Raw genomic sequence first — 18,777 nt, 5'->3', positions numbered from 1 at the left:
TTAATTCAAGTAAATCTTGACTGGCTCTTTTTTTCCAATATCTTAATACATTCTTAAAATTAATATTCTCAACAAATATAAAAATTATTTTTATCACAATCATCATTATTATTCCAGAGTTCTGTAAATAGTCTGCCACAATGTAAATTATCTCAAAAGTCTGCCCAAATTTTGGAACTTAAGTGAAAAAAAAGAGTCAAAATATTTCAATCTTAACACTTTGAAGTGATTGCATGAAGCACTGGAAAAATTCAGGAATTTTCAATAGGTTAAAAAAAATTGGTATATGTCTAGGTGAGTGCCTTGGAGTAGAATTTCCTTCTGTAAAGGGAGCTGTCCAACTATGCCCAGAAATCAGTGAATGCCTGCTGAAAAATCGGCCAAATTAGAGTAGATACATTTGCCAGTCTGATTGCACCCTCTAAGAAGGCTTTAGCACCTGCTTCTCTGAAAATATACAAGCTGTCTGGAATGTTATTCTTTAGTGAGCATGAACAGGATAAAGTAGAGTCCCATAGTAAAACCTCTGGTGAGCTGAAAAATCTACCTGGATTTTGGTCCTTTAGCCCTGCTAATTGTCCCTGGGCACTCTGAGATACTTCATATCATAATCAAGTATCAATTGGAATGACATACTGAGGAAGATGCATAAACTTAAAGGGATTTCCAAAATTTCACTTTATTTTAAAGGTCTCAGGGAAATGCATGATACCGAGTGTTATTTGGATTAAACACCTTGAATATATTGCTAAAGAAACAATTCATGTTTTGGCTGTTTAATGTTAGTAGGAAAGGTAAAGTCAGCAAAGGGTGGTCTTAATGCACTGGTAAACATACTTTCAATTAATATAAGAAACTGGGAGGAAAAATAGTTAAACTAATTTGTAAATTTAGAATATAAAACTTGACCTTAATATTTATTGCATTCTTCATGTTCTGCGGGGTGAGGTGGGGGTCACAGCGCAGCTCTGTTGCCCAGATTTTAAGTGAATTTCTTTTGAGTGTCATAATCACATAGAAATTAGGAAGAACCAGATGGTCATTCAGGAAGCAAGTTAGAGTGGAAATTGAGCCTGGTCTCTGGGATTTGTGTATTGGCCTACAAACTCTTTGTGTGACCTTACCCGCACACTGGATGCTTTCATTTTCTCACCTATAAGATCAGAGTAGTATTTATACCCATAAAACTTGATTATTTTGGGAATTAAACATAATTTATATATTATACCAGGCACAGAAAGTGTTCTCTATAGATTAACTACCAGTACTATTATTATTATCCAGATAAATTAATATACCTCAAAGTTCTAAACTGAAGTTCTAGAATCTTAAGTTTATCCCTCAATAAATTCATATTGAAAAACCATTTAGATTTTTTTCTGGATTAGAAAAAATCTTTTATCAATGAGAAGTTATGTCAAATTGTCTGAACATTAAGATCAATTTATATATTAATGTGAAAGCAGTGTGAAAAAATAAAATGCATATTGGAATAAAATTTTGGAAATATATTTGGAATTTGAAAGAACTATGAGAAAGTAAGGTCTATAGAAACATAAGGCAAGATGTGGGGCTTGTGAACTGAAGTACATATTTTCCAACAAAGATCACTTCTTAAGATTTTGAAAATTATCTTTGTTTCAATTAAAAGAGAGAAAAATAGAGTTGTTTAAAATTATTCTAAGCATTAAAGTATTACTACTCCATTGAGACTAGACCTTATGTTATAGATGTACAGACTGTCTAAGCAACAAGGAGGACCCATTTCCTAAAGCAGTAGTTTCAGGAGATGAAGGAGAGGGGAGAAAAAGGCCTTTCAGCGTTACAGGCTGGTTACAGAGAGGCAGTCAGGCTCTCAGAATTGCAGTTCCAGAAGTGGTTGCTGCTGAAATATTCAAGTTTATGAGTGGATTGTTTCCTGAAAAAATCCAGGATTAAGTTGGAGGGTAGTTGGTCTAATCAGTATGGCTACCCAAAGTAGACTGCCTGCAGCAGGAAGTAGGACTTGTTACAGTATAACCAGCTCACAGTTTGCAATTTATCATCAAAGGTTTGTTTTAATGCAAAATACTAAACTATAATAGGAAGGCTGTTGAGTACATTTATGAAGCACAGTCTTATGGGCAAGGGCTTAAAGACCTTTAGATTTTATAACTCAGGTCATTTGATTTGATAGAATTGAGTAATGTGTCTAAATCACATAGGCGAATGCAGATTTTGCTGACTTTTGTGTGAAATTTGTGACATGAGTAGCTAGGCTGTGGAAAGTATCTTAGTCTGAATTTAGAGATGTATGCTATTACTACTTTAACAGCAGATTGTGTGAAGTTTTATGTGGACTTTTCTTGTCAGACAGGTTATTTAAACTTTTATCCTTCTACTGATGTCATGATTATACATTTTAGACCACAGGGAATTGGGTAGAATTTACTCCCAAAAAGGAGATCAGTAAGTCCACGGAAAATATTTGGGTTAATAAACATCAAGAGTTAATATGATTTCATCTCAGGGGAACGAGGGTGAGTGAGAGCATAGAAGAGGAGATGGATAAAATTCTATGAAGAATTAGGCAACAGCCTTCATTCCAAATACAATTTCTTTGATTTGGCTTAAAGATAGAAATGACTTGAACTGGAGGGTTATGTCTATGTCTGTGACTTCCTCTTGGAATGGGGCCTGTGAAATCTTTTTGGTAGTAAGTGAATACAGAGGTGCATATTGAAATAGCAAATGAAAACAATAGTCATGACCACTGAATTCCAGCCCTGGGATATTATCTGGTTCTAAATAATGGAGGAGAGGTATTGTGATACTTTGTTCAGGTACTTAAGAGGAGATGAGCTTGTATGTAAAGAACAAATGTAAATAAAATTAAAAATGATTTGTGAGGACTACAGGAAGAAAAAAAGGCAGTAGCTGATACAGACTATCATCTTTGGTCTAAGTGGAACTAGAGGAATATTATGGAATGCTCCAAATCTACTTAATGTCGACACACATTCTCATGTATGGTACTTCATTTGGTTTCTAAGAAAACCCATAAAATCCTTAAACTTTCAAAATAGGGTGAGACTGATGATAATGAATATTGTGTAGATAGCCATGGGAAGGATGCAGAGTTGTTTTATTTGGGGCAAAAGATGGATTTAAACATTTGACAAACAAGCTTGCCTAAATTGTCACATTCTTGACAAAATTTAGCAACTCAGTGGAATAAAAAGGAAAATGGAATTAGTGTGGTGTCAGACAAAGGATATTTGGAAGAAGTAAGATCATCTAGAAGAATTTACAGACTTTGTCTTTTTCCTGGGTTGATAAAAGTTTATCATTCTGCCTCATCCCCAAGGATATATTTCTGGACCAAGATCAACTATAGTATCTTCAGTTGACTTAAGGAGAGAAAACCCTTGCACTAAGAAGCTTTTAGTGTCAGTAAAGAAAAATGGTGCACTCCAGCCATATTGAATATTAGGGCTAGTGCTATATGCTCTGTCTAGAAAAGAATAAGCTCATTTCTGAGATGTAGAGTCTAGGATGATGCTGGCAGGTCCCATTTTCTTTATTGTTAGTGTTCTTCTAGACATGTAGCAAATTGGAGAGTACATAGTTATAATGGGGTTCATGCGAAAGCCAAAAATCAACTTTTAGTAGCAGCATTTACAACAAATAAAGGTTAAGAAAACACACCATCTAGCAAATAAATTATAAACACTTAACTCAATTTTAGGAGATGGTTTCTTAGAAAATAAACCATAAAATGGGTGGCTTATAAACAACACGCATTTATTTTTCGGTTTTGGAGGCTGAGAAGTTCAAGATAATGTGCTTGCAGATGTGGTGTCTGGTGAGGGTTTCTCTCTCATAAATGGTACCTTCTAGCTGTGTCCTCCCTTGATAGAAGAATAAAAATTCTCCCAGGCCACTTTCATAAGGACACTAATCCCTTTCACATGTGTTCTGTCCTCATAATGGACCCAACCGCCAAACACCTCATCTTCTAATGCTATTAACTTGAGGCTTAGGATTTCAAGATATGACGTCTGAGGGTACACATTCAGACTACAGCAATTTCCAAGTTGTTACCTCTTTACATTCCATACAATATGATGTCTGCTTGTTGAATGTCCAAACATCTGAGATCCTCAATATTTTCCTGGAGTATTTCTTGGAATTTCATATTCCATTTTCCTCTTATTAGTTTTTGAAAATGCTAGATCTACTGACAAAGTTGAATGACATTAGGTAGCATCCAAAACCCAATCCAGTGATTAGATTGAAGTCAGCAGTCAGATAGACCAGATAAAATAATATAGCAAACAGGGCATATTATTCTGGAGAATCTGGACATTTAAAGAACAAAGTAAACAATCAAAAGAACAAATGATCATTTATTGTTCACATGGTAGGAGTTGACATTACTGACTTGAAACTAAAGATTACTAAATTTTTTTTCATCTGGAAAGATGAATTGATTTAAATCTCTCTACAAATTTATTTACTATGTCCTCAATTTGCAATAGTGGAGCTATATAGTGCACCAAAATTTGAGATGATAATTACTGCCTAAATGTTTAAGCTAGTTTGCATAGTTACTGCCAAAACATTTACAGCTTGCTTCCATAGTTCTTACTGAACCTAATTTCATGTAAGAATGCACCCTCCCATCAAACAATAGGAAACATGAAGCCCTCTTTTACTTTTGCAGAGCTGAAGGCAATTATGGAAACTAAAGTTGTCTTTTATATCAAATACCTAGAACAAATAATAAATTTTACTTCAGTTTGAACTATGTGATGATTATAAAATACATTTCAGAAATGACTAACTAAATGCTTTAGTACAAACATGTTTAATTCTTCTTTTCAAATATGTTTTTTCACTTGAATATATAAATTTTAAGGTTCCCCTATTATAGTAATTCTGCTAAGATCCAAATAACTGTGTTATTACAATTGAATGATCATCACGGTAGCTTATGTGATAATATAATAATTAATGATAACTTAGTCTATTGAAATTTCCACGTAATTACCATTTATCCAGGAACAGGGAGGAGAGAGAGGAGATGGTGTTTTCATTTATATCTTGTTTAAGAATATTTCTAATGTATACTAGCTCACATATCTGCTTTAGTATGTTGAGTAGATTGAATGTAATTTAATCTTTCTTTGAGAATTCATTAATTTGATAATGCAATTATCATTTCAACTTTATCTACTAAAATTGAATTAGATTGAAATATTTCTGATTCCAGAGTTAGTGTGACTTTATGTTAAAATTGCTTTTTCTCTACTTCTCTTCATCTCCTTAAATCTTCAAGAGTCCATGCAGCAAGTTGAAACTGAGGTTGCTTACCACTTGGAAGGTAACTCTTTAGTCCCCTGAAAGACCAAATAGGAATAAAGCTGTGTCTGAGAGGCAAGAGAGGTGAATGGAGCAAACTCTGCCTGAGATCTTTGGGGCAGGCTGATCTAATTTCACTCCTTTGTGTGTGTGTGTGTGTGTGTGTGTGTGTGTGTATCTGTGTGTGTGTGTTTTTTCAGAGTTCTGCAATTCCAGTGGTCAAGAATTAGCCCAAACACTAGGTAGTAATAAACAGTAATTTTAAAAATATTGTCTTGCTTATATTTCTTTGGGACTAGAATGCATGTATAGCTACTTGTAGAAGTCTAAGCCTCTATTGTCGTAAGAAAATTAACTTCAAATATACCATATGTATCCTAATTCAAATTCTTTGATCTTATGTCATTTTCATAAATGCCAAGTATGGAATACAATGCTATTTTTTGTGGAGTTTCAATTACTGACATTCAGGTAACAACATTTGGTTACTGTAAGGATTATAGACTGACATGTTGGTATTTTCTTTATTTAGAAGGCCCTGGATCATTTTGTCCATCATCTCGGAATCCCTAGCCGAGAATAAAAATAATTTAAGACTTCTATACTGGGAGTGGCAGAAACAAGTTAGGTGTAATTTATTTCCATGTGAATGTGCGAGTGTGGGGGGAATGGCGTATCTAACTAAAAGAAGAAAGGCACATGTATCTAATTTTTACAAGGCTATGGATATGATACTCATTATTTTAGGTATAATCTACGAATGTGCTTTACATTTAATCGATAATAAGTAATTTTATATGCTAACACTCCATTGTGTAGAACACTTTTTATAGTTATGTAATTTAAGTGTATAAACCACTATCATCTGCTCTTAACGTATTTGAAATGAGACAATGGTCATTTTTACAATTTATCACATCTTGAGTTAACGAGAAGACCTTTCTTCATATTACTTTTTAAATTCATGTACTGTGGAAGAGTTATTCATGTTCACATTGGGGTGAGTAACCAGAAGGATAGGCTCAAGGGAGACTTTTCTGTTCTCTATTCTGCTAGAGCCTATTACTTAAATTCCACCAGAAACAGAGAGGAATGAATTGGGATGGGAATAGTTTAAGCTTACCTTTAATATACACTCAATAAAGTACTCCTAGTTGATTAGAATGCAGTTCTTGTTCTAAGTCATTTGTTATTAGTTAACATATGCAATCAAAGTGTCTTAATAAGAATTATCTCAATTTTATTGACCAAGAAACTGTAAGCACATTTTTTTCTTCTTGTTAACGTTGGTCCTCTGATAGGAAAAAACATAGGAAAACTTTACACTAAAGTAATCAACTTCACCCTAAAATGATTAACTTGCCTAAGATAATTCTGATTATTGTCCAGTGCCTCTGTACAGAGGAGGGTGAACACGTAGAAAATGAAACTGAAATAGGAACAAGATGTTTGGTGACCTCACAAACGTGTTTGTAAAGAACCATAGCTATTGTATGAAATCAATAGTGGCTTCATGCTCTCTCCACCCAGCCCTCCCCTGGAAAGTCACCACCACCACCACATCAAATAAATAGCACAATCTATTCCATCCTTTCTCCCTCATACAACTTGACATCTTTCTTAGTATACAATTTGCCTGTCTTTTACCACTCACTAAGAGATACAATCAGGACTAGTGGAGAAGTGGAGCAAAAGGGGAAAAGAAGCACACACTGAGGTTTGCGGGGCTCTCCTTCTGTGGAAATGGCATTGACATTATTCCCCCTTGACCTCAACGATTTCTAATTGACTAGGTTCACAAAGATTTATCCTTTCATGATTCAAAAAACCTCTAGCCAGAATGTTCCCAAAGTTTTCATTCGAAAATAAAGTAGGATTTTATACAACTAAATTCAAATTTCAAACCTGAATCCAACGTCCCTGTCTTCAGTGGTGAAAATGACAATTGTATTTCCCTAATGCTCTGGTGAGGACCTTTCATAATAAATATTGTGTTTAGTTACATGGCAGAACTATTCATCTTTATGGAGACAAGCAATGTATTCTGTACCGCATCAATATATGATTCACTGTGTGAAGCAATCACAGTAATTCATTTCTCAAATTTCAGTTCTCAACTTAATCCTCCTCCTCTCATTTCATTCAACATTTGAAGATAATGTAAAACTTGAAAAAATTGCTTTAAAATAATTAACAAACTAATTATCTACTCCAGGTTACTCTGGAAAGAGTCACATAGAGAGAAGTTAGGTAACTTTTCCCCTTATTTGACTTCAAAGACCATAGAGTGTACGGTTCTTATTTTCAGGAGAGAGGGAGAAACAGAAAGAGAGGCAGAGAGAGAGAGAGAGACAGAGAGAGGGATGTTTTAGCTTCTCCAAGCAAAGTGAGGAGGAAAGTTACCCAGATAATTACTGCCATCAGATACTTTTGCTTGCTTATCTCTGTTGAAGACCATCATCTGAATAATTACCTTTGGCTTCTCTCTACTGTGCAGAAATTGCTTATCATAGGAGGAAATTTAAACAATATGATGACACTATTCCATTTCTCATTTTACAATAAACTACAATAAAAAAACAAAAACAAAACCAAGCAAACAAAATATCATTAGAACATAAAACAGTTTGTAAAAGTCTAAGCTTTGAAACTTGTATTCCTGAATTCAGACCTTTAGCTCATATTCCACAGTGTCTGTAACATTAAGTACATAAAATCAATGGACTGAAAGTAGGTGAAGAAAATAGTACATTACAACGTGGTTATTTTAGATTCTTAAGAAGAATGATATCAATTTCAAACATAAGAAGTATATCAAATGAAAATATTATATCAACTTTTGTATTCTTTCCTCTTTTTCACATAGTTCTGTGAATGCAGAGCGTGATCAGTTAACTTCAACATTTATTAAACTTTAATGTTTTTTAAAACATTAGAGGGTTTCAAAACCCTTAATATTTAAATTAATCCCAAGATTATACTCTTGAATAGCACTTATTATTTTAAAAAACTTTAGAGAAGAAATCAAAGGAAGAGAACAAGATAAATTAAAACTAAAAAGTTTTCCAAAAAGACATGATTTATGGTTCATAATCCCATAGTGAGCAGAGTATGAGATTAAGAACAACGTGCACAGATTGATTTTAGAAAAAAAAAGTGAGTGACTTCTTCCTTTGCTCTAGTAGGAAATACTGTAAAATAACATAGGTATTTTGAAACACGAAAGAGAGAAAACAATGTCTGACTAATCCAAAATCCATCAGTAAGTCACTGTCCAGTCAAATTCTGTTTTATGTCACCAGACAGTCTCTACTACCTTCCACATAAGGGAAGAAAATACAGAAGATGCAGTACTTACATTGAAAATAAAAATAAAAAGTGAGAGAATATATTTATAAATGATATACCTGATAAGGGGGTTAATATCCACAATATATAAGGAACTCAACTCAATAGCAAGAAAACAAATAACCTGATTCAGAAATGAGCAAAGGACCTGAACAGACATTTTCAAAAGAAGACATGGAAATTGTCAGTAGGTTTATAAATAATATTGAGTATTACTCATTATTAGGTAAAAGCAAATTGAAATCCCAGTGAGATATTACCTCACACCTGTTTGAATAGCTGTTATCAAAAGGATATATTATGATAAGTCTTGGTGAGGATGGAGAAAAAAATGTAAGTAGATAAAAAATACATTATAAAAAATGTAAATGTACAACCATTATGGAAAGTGATATGGAGGGTCCACAAAAAAAACCTAAAAATTATATTAAGAAGAATAAGCCAGGCACAGAAAGACAGATACTGCATAATTTCACTCATATGTGGAATCTAAAAAAGTTGATCTCATACCCCAGTGGTTGAGCTGGGGTACTTGGGGATGTATTGGCCAAAGAACACAACATTTCAGTTAGGAGAAATAAATTCAAGACACCTATTGTACAACATGGTAACCATAGTTAACAACATATTGTGTTCTTGAAAAATGCTAAGAGAGTGGAAGTGAAGTGTCAATTTACAAAAAAAAAAAAAAAAAGAGAATAGAACTACCATATAATCCAGCCACTTCTGAGTATGTATCCAAAAAAACTGAAATCAATATGTCAAAGGGATATGTGCACACCCATGTTCATTGCAACATTATTCATAAGAATAGCCAGGATATGGAAAAAACGTTAGTGTTCATAAGCAGATAAATGGATAAAAAAGATGGCAATATACACAATGAAATACTATTGGGCCTTAAAAAAAGGCAATTCTGTCCTTTCTGATAATGGATGAACCTGGAGAACATTATGCTTTGTGAAATAAGCCAGGAACAGAAAGACAAACACTACGTGATCTCCCTTACATGTGGAATGGAAAAAAGTCAAACTCATAGTAGTTGATATGCTTTAGCTATGTCCCCACCACCCAAACCTCATCTTGAATTGTAGCTCCCATAATTCCCACATGTCCTGGGAGGGACCCGGTGGGAGGTAATTGAATCATGGCGGCGAGCCTTTCCCTTGCTGTTCTCGTGATAGTAAGTCTCATGTGATTTGATGGTTTTATAAAGGAGAGTTTCCCTGCACACATTCTCTTTCCTGCCACCAGGTAAGATGTGACTTTGCTCCTCCTTCACCTCCTGCCATTATTGTGAGACCTCCCCCAGCCATGTGGAACTGTGAGTCCATTAAACCTCCTTTTCTTTATAAATTACCCAATCTTGGATATGTCTTTATTAGCAGTGTGAGAACAGACTAATACAGAAGTAAAGAGTAAAACGACAGTTATCAGGGTTAGGGGGGTGGGAGAAAATGGAGAGCTGTTTTTGGTCAAATGGTACAAATTTTCAGTTCGATAGCAGAGATCTATTGCATGGCAGAGTGACAATAGTCAATAATAATATATATTTCAAATAAATTTAGCAAATCTCAAATATTTCACCACAAAAAGTGATAAGCAAGTGAGATGATTGATACATTAATTAGCTTGATTTAATCATCTCACATTATATACATATATCAAAACGTCACATTTTACCCCATAAATGTATAAGATTATGATTCTTCAATCAAAAATAATATTAAAAGAAAAGGCAGTTTTTTTGTTCATGATTGACACACCATGTGATCATCAGTATAAGTTAAAGAATGGTGAAGAGGGAAGATGTTACGCTAAATAACTCAGTGTACACATATATAATTTGGCACTAGATCTACTTCTGGTTCCAGAGGAAAATAATCCGTCTGGTTATGGGACCCAGCACTGAGACTGCAGAGCAAGAATGAAATCACTCCCATCTCAGTACAGCTCATATTTACCTAAGTAACATAAGAGTGTTTTTGGAGAATTGCACTTTAATTCAGGGTCTTTGATATGTTCTATCATGCTCCTTAATGATTTTCATGGCAACCACAAGCAGGGAGTGTTGTGGGCTAAATTGTGCCCCGTCAAAATTTCTATGTTGAACTCCTAACCCTCAGTACTTGAAAATGTAACTATATTTGGAGATAAGACCATTGAAGAGGTAATTAACTCTAAATGAGTTAGGGTGGGGCCTGATTCAATATGACTGAGTCCCTTGTTTGAGGAGGAAATTTGTACACAGAAATATCATAATTTGTACACAGAAATATCATGAGAGTAGGCCATGTGAAGACTTAAGGGGAAAGACAGCTATCTACAAGCCAAGGAGAGAGACCTCAAAGGAAAGTTACGTTGAGGACATCTTGATTTTAGACTTTTGGCCTTCAGGACTGTGAAAAAATACACGTCTGTTTTTTAAACCACACATTCTGTGGGACTTTGTTATGACAACCTTCGAAAACTGATACAGGGAAAAATAGCTTCCTACCTAGATTCAGTCAAGATAAAGAATTACAAAAGTTCAATCTCCTGTCCTAAAGACAGTTTTTTTGAATTCTCTTTTTCACTTTTCATCTTTCTTTTGATGTATAAGAATGAGAATTGAATGGAACAAGAGTTACGCTATGTCATTTAGTAGAGTAGTCAGGCATAGCATCTGTGGTCAGGAACTCTGTTGTCTTTCTTGCAATAGTTCATGTTTGGTTAAGTGTTCAGTGAAGCTGCCTTTTATTATAGATTGCACCAGATTGCTAATATAGACATATGGAAATGAGTTTAACCCATTTGCAGTCTCTAGAATCTATTCTAGAACCCTAGCTATGGATATAATCTCTATACTGCATGGTAGTCTTTGGTAACCACAGGTCTTTTGACATTTTAATTTCTTCCACTATTACTCCAAGTGAAGTAACTCAAGAGTGGAAAACCAAAAACTGCAAGCTCTCACTTATAAGTGCGAGCTAAGCTTTGAGTACACAAAGGCATACAGGGTCATATAATAGATTCTAGAGGCTCAGATGGGGAGGCAAGGAGGGGGGCTAAGATAAAAAACTACATATTAGGTACAGTGTACACTGCTCAGGTGATGGGTGTATTAAACTCTCAGAATTCACTATGATAAATTCATTCACTAACAAAAAAACCACTTGTGCCCCAAACTCTATAGAAATAAAAATTAACAACAAAAACAAAAAAGACAGGTCTATGTCAAGTGTCTTCCTTTGAAAAGTTTAACCATTCTCAGACACTCAACCATCAACCATTTCCTTTTAAAATTTCTTAGTTCCAGTTATCAGAGTACATTTGCGTTTTCAGAAGAATCAGACTATAAAACTATATTTATTTTCATTTTTAAAGGATGTATTATATACTTTAGTAAGAAGATTACAAATATGGGTGGCCCTATCTTTAGGAAGAAGTTTGCAAAATTGAATTAGTCTTTTGTGGTCACAGTGTTGTGAAGTGCTTCTGCATTTACTGAGTGAGGGATGGTAGACACTGTGCATTGTATGGCGGAACATTCGTTTATAATTAATGATTATAGAGCCCAAATTAGTGTTAACATGAATTCAAAGTATTTTCTGCATGGTTTCAATATACACTGAATTTTCCCAAAATGCAAATGTAGTGGAAATTGAGAGAAAAAACTATTATTTTTTCTTAATAGAACTTTAGTTAACATTAAATACCATTTTAGAAAATCATGTCACTGATGGCAACACTAGCTGTGAGACTAAAAGTATACCACTAATAGTATTCCTACTTCTGCTGCTTACGTATTTCAAACAATCGTGGTGAATCCGAGTAGCAATGGGGCTCTGCAAACTTCATTATGTTTTCTACCTTCTCTGTACCTGCATATTAACATTAAGAAATGCATATTATTTTATTATAAATTATTTTTCTTACATTTTTATTTATATTAGAGTTTAGGCATTATTTTCAAAATATTTTTGAACATTCTTTTTTTTTTTTGAAATTGTGTGAAATTGTATAATGGGTTATACTATCTATAACCTTTGTTTCAGATAGTATTATAAAATATTTGTGTAAAGTGGTGTTGTGTGTCTAGAATTGCCTCTGGGACTTGCCTTTAATTCAGTCTTCCTGTAGTTATGCACCTACAAACCTTTAAAACCCGAACACAAATTGTCTTGAAAATTGAATTTCTGAACTATTTTCTAATTTAGAGTGACTGGGAAGGAAGAAAACTACAAGAGTGACTGTTTCTGTTCAGACTGGCAACCCCTTCAAGAGCTATTGAATAATAGAATGAAGGCCATCATCCCAGTGAAGGAATTCTCAATATACTTTCATTAGTAAGCATGTTTTTCCATTGTTTTAATCTTAGACCTGAAATGTAGAATGATTAGTGGTATCTATTTTGGCTGCTCAGTAGCTAGTTTTGCTACCCGGGTAAGTTCTGTGAAATTAAGAGTTTTGATTTATTATTTCACAGATGCATGTGGCAATTCCAGGAACCATTCCAAAACTACAAAGATTAGCTCATTTATCTTCACAGCAACTACTTTATCCCCACTACACCAAAGAGGAAACTGAGGAACAGTCAGGTTAACTTACCAAAAGTCAGTGATATCCAGTAAATTGCAGAGCCTGGACATAGTTGTCTGGCCATGGAGGCCATGGGCTTAGCTAATTATGTTACACTGCCTTCAAAGGTTGCAATATAGCAAACGAGAAAGAACATGGCAGTAAAAGGATTAAATGAGAAAACAGAATTAGATGATATTGCTTTATTCATAAAGGGTTCTTTAAGTTTCCACTTATGTTAAATTCATCATCCTATATCAAGTATGAATAATCAATGGAAGATCACCTTCAAATAAGAATTAATTTGTTTATGATAAATAGAGAATCATAAACATTTTCAATTGCAATTGCCTTTTAAATGCAGAGAAAGAAATAAACAACTCAATAGCTATTATTAGACATTATTTGAGCAAGAAAGGAAAGAAGAGATAAAGTGGGAGAGGGAAAAGAGAGAGAGACAGAGATAGAAAGTGAGAGAGAGAATGGAATGTAAAAAGGTACAAGCAAGCAGGGAAAAAATGTGAAAAGAGAGCAATGATTACTGACTTTATTATAAGTGAGAAATCTGACCATTTCTTGTCCGCCTAGTCTAGGCAAATTTCTGGTGTTTTAGATTATTTTCTTTTCTCATTCAAATGCTTATTTTAAAAGGATTCTGTTTTTAACCAGCTCATTTACCAGCGCCCCACTCCCACCCTGCCTCCAATTTTCAGGAGCTGGAAAAGCTGGAACAATAATGGAACAATCATGATATTCCTTTCCAGACAGATGCACCTTCATTTATTTTCTTTGTATATCCCCTTTCTGTAACATCCTCCTTTTGATCATATAACACAATTAGATCTTTGTCACTGCTTCTGTTTTTAAAATGTGCATATAATATTTTAATCTGTGGAAGTGATTATAACATTATGTTAACTTTACTAAAATGATTCAGCACTGTGCATCAATGGCTGTTTATGGATAGAAGTTGTTGTTGGGCATTGCTAAAGGAAAGCAAGCTACTTGCAGATATCAATGAATTCAGATTATTATTAGAAGATTCTGGTGAAGCAGCAGTAGTAGAAGGCAAACAGTAAAAAATGAAAGTTTCCACTGCATGGAAATATTTATTAATTTTGTTATTATTAACTTTTGCAGTTAATTCTTGTTTCCTCTGTTATTATTATTTTGTAATTGTCATCTTTTTAGTGTTCACTTAGCCTGTTATCTTTTATTGATTTCCAAATATCACCATTTGGTCAATATTTACATTTCAATGTCACGTTTCTTTCCCTCTAGAATAATCTCTTTTGAATATGACAGCCATATAACTTTGTTTTGTTACTCTGAGCACTTAGAATTGGGAGTCTTTACTTCATATTTTTCCAATGTTTCATAGCATTGATATTTCTTGTTGTTTTCTTTTCAATGATACTGCTTTTATTTTTAACTAAGCAAGGTTAACATTTGTCCTAGACTGAAATAGTTATATGTCCTACCATTAGATTATGAAATAATATATTGTCTACTTAGGCTATTCAAAACAATGTTTCTTATATTTTTGTTGATTAAATTCATATAAAAGTTTACAGTAAAGATATTGACCCCTGGTGAATAAATATCTACCTATATATGGTCTCTTTAACATGAGGATTTTGGTGTTGAAATGCTCCAGATGTATATATGATTACTTATTTAATTGTAGAGAATATAAGTTTCTCAATGTGTAGTCACTATCTTTCTACTGGAGTCATAATGATTAGTTGAAAAAAGCTGTGATATATTTTTCAGTTAAAATTCATACAAGTAGAAAAGATAGAGTGTATAAAAATCAGAAGCTACAGGCATGAATGTATTAGGATGATAAGTAATCATAAATCTTGATTGCAAGATGTCTGCTTTTCTCAATTGATCTTATTTGACAATAGTCAACAATACAGTTTTTAAATATTCTGTATTCCTGGTCTCAAAGCCACACTGCAACTAGGATTATTGGTCAATTGTTTTTCTACCAACTGATCTTGACTTAGAAGAAATCCATATTCTGTTTATATTAATAACCTTTACATTTGTTCTTATATAGAAAAAATGTATTCAGTGCTCATGAAATAATAATATCACATTCATTTCAATACAAAGACTTTTACTCGCACTCCGCACCATGATTCTAATTAAACTTGAAAGGGAACAAATAACATTTAAAGTTCTTTAGGGAATAATGTTACTCTCTTATTGGTTAGTTCATCCTCCTTTCAATCTTCTCTAAACTCTTAATTTTAGGTCTTTCAAATGAATTTAGTTTTTATATAAGCGTTAATATAAATATGCAGTAATTATATTCATACCCACACATATATGTATATGTTTTGTAGCCTTCTCATTTTAACTTATATAGCATAAATATGTGCACCCCAATACATATTCCATTGAAACATGCTATTTAAATTATTTCGTGATTTGCAACTGAAAATTGATGGGTCACTTCTAAATTTTAGTTCTCCAATACCTTACTTCTGATTATATATAGTATTCCCACGATCTTATGTTTCTAAATAATGTTAGCATTAGCATTAGCATTTTGTGTATACATTTTTGCACTAATCTCAGCTTACTTCTTCAGGGATGGCTTGATGAGTATGCAGATCACTCTCTGTTTTCCATGAGAACACCCCGAAGATCCATTTACTGCCCTTCTCTGTCCTGCCTGGTTCCAAAGCAGGGTCACCCTCATGAGCTTCATCACTTGGGACCTTGGCTTTCCATCGTTCCCCTGACAACAATGAGAGCCGCTGGCTCTGGCAGATTAGCTGGTGAGAGGAAAGAGAAGTTGGGGTGCTTCTTCTGTAGTGCTTCCACCTCCTAGTGGCTGGCCTCGGGTTTGACAACAGCTGAGTTCTGTGGTTTAATCTCCTATGCCTCTTTCTCCATGCTTGGGTTTCATCAGTCACCAGACTTACCTCTTCTGCCTCAGAGGTGGAAATGGCTTCCCATGTTGTTAGTCGCTAAATGCTTCATATGCTTTGATTCTTTTACTCTTGGCCACACTTCCGTAAATAGCACCTCCATCAATCTCCCCTTATTTATATCTGTTAAGTAAGTCATCTCTTTTCTGTCTGAATCTAATAGAATAGGCCAAGGGATACAGCGACATTTTAAGCATTTGGAATATATTGTCACATTTTCTTCACAATTTAAATGTACCCCTAGTAGTGTATATGAATTTAAATATTCCTATAACTTTCTAACATTAGATTTGCTGTTTTTAATTATTGTCAAGATAACAGGCAAAATAGAACATAATACAGCATTCCATGATTGCTAATTAGGATAAATATTAAGAGAGAGAGTGTGTGTGGTGCGTGTGTGTGTGTGTGTGTGCACGCATGCATGCTTGCAGGTAAGTATACATAGCAATGTGTCTAAAAAGTGCTAGCCACGAATTATGTTCACATTTCAACTCAAGCACAGAATAGCCATGTGAATAGAGGCAAGACCTTTCTTCTTTAAATAATATTGGCCGGGTATGGTGGCTTACGCCTGTAATCCCAGCAGTTTGGGATGCCGAGACTGCCGGATCAACAGAGGTCGGGAGTTTGAGACCAGCCTGACCAACATGGAGAAACCCCGTCTCTACTAAAAATAAAAAATTAGCCAGGCATGGTGGCGGGCGCCTGTAATCCCAGCTACTCGGGAGGCTGAGGCAGGAGAATGGCGTGAACCCAGGAGGCGGAGCTTGCAGTGAGCCGAGATCGCGCCACTGCACTCCAGCCTGGGCAACGAGAGCGAGACTCCGTCTCAAAAAAAAAGAAAAAAAAAAAAAAGCCTTTTTTTTTTTTTTTTTTGAGACAAAGTCTCGCTCTGTCCCCCAGGCTGGAGTGCAGCGGCGCGATCGATCTCGGCTCACTGCAAGCTCCGCCTCCTGGGTTCACGCCATTCTCCTGCCTCAGCCTCCGGAGTAGCTGGGACTACAGGCGCCCGCCACCGCGCCTGGCTAATTTTTTGTATTTTTAGTAGAGACAAGGTTTCACCGTGTTAGCCAGGCTGGTCTCGATCTCCTGACCTCGTGATCCGCCCGCCTTGGCCTCCCAAAATGCTGGGATTACAGGCGTGAAGTCTTATTTTTTAAATTATCTGTGAGCCAGAGATAATAGTAATATTTGGTCCCTTCTAACTTTAAGTTTGTGATTGTACATCCCCATCAGATACAAAAGGACAGAAAGAAATCCTGCATATTCTGATAATGCATGATTGAAGAAGCAAAATCCACTTTGTGTGTTGAGTCACTGAGTAATTTGTAAAGCTACTTTTTTTCTCCAAGAACTGGTGAATGCTGTGATGTACATTATTTCTTTGGTAATATACTTCATCAGAGAATTATTTTTACAATGCCAAATGAAGTAGACTTAACCTTTTACTGTGTTAAGGGTCAAATCCTGTTAACAAAGAAATCAGTCATGCTAATAAGAGAAATGGAATTCTATGTTTTTATCATTTCACATTTATATATTGCTTTTCTGAACTTTTTTGTTGGAAAACTCTCATTTTGATATCTTTACGTTATGAAGGGTTGGAAACATTACCTGAAATTAAGTGGTTCACTTCATCACATTATTTTTCTTAGTACAGAATGTTTCCTTGGATTTTAAAAAGGGGTCTTGTGGCATGATAGGAAAGAGAGTATTTCTTGGAAGACAAGGAGCATGAACCTCAGAAGTAGCTCATTTGTACAGGAGGTAATGGTGTGAGAGAGAGGTAATGCTAGGGCCTTTGAGAGGCTCAATGAAGTGGAAAAGGTAGATAGAGGGCTTACATATTTTCTGCAAATGTGTAGAATTTGCAATACTAAACCTGGGAAGAGCATGTAGTATGTGATGTGCTTGCTTTGCATATGGGCATGGTGTTACCGACTCACCTTCACCAGGTCAAGGGCTTTGCATTGTTGGGGTGATAGATTTACCCTGCTCAGTTTGCCTGTCCTCCATGAGCAGGAACATGAGTTTGTGAGACATCTGTGTAGGGTTAGGAGGGCAGCTGAAAGCTGTTGAACAGAAGTGAGCTAACAGGCTTGTGCACAAATTAAACTTGTAAGTGTAGTGCCATCAGTGCTCTGTGGAAATGCTGAGCAACCAGAGCGAGGTAGGAAGAGAAATCTTTAGGGAGGCGGAGGATTTGGAGGGATTAATGAATACCTCAGAGAATGGGAAAATCATGATATTTCTATACATTATTTGCAAGAAAAATAATGTATAGAAATATTATGACATATACCAAAAGCACATGTAGATGTTTAAACATACATTTACGCTTCTACATTTAGTAAACTAGATTTTAAAATGTTTTCCTAACACTTAACAGAGAGTCTGTCATTGACTCAAACTATCATTAAAACAACAGCAAAAGCCAAAGAAAGAGAGAAAAAGTGTAAGGGCTCTCCCACAAATGCCTCAGGTGACCAGAAGAGAAAGGCAGACGGCAGCCTCTGTGCTCAGTGGCAGCCGGCCAGCTTGGCCAGAATTGGCCGGAGATCCATGACCCTTTGGCTCT

The sequence above is a fragment of the Homo sapiens genome, chromosome 7, assembly GCF_000001405.40.
Source record: "Homo sapiens chromosome 7, GRCh38.p14 Primary Assembly".
Taxonomy (NCBI): Eukaryota; Metazoa; Chordata; class Mammalia; order Primates; family Hominidae; genus Homo; species Homo sapiens.
The sequence above is the reverse complement of the archived record's forward strand: the minus strand, read 5'-3'. Positions refer to the sequence as shown.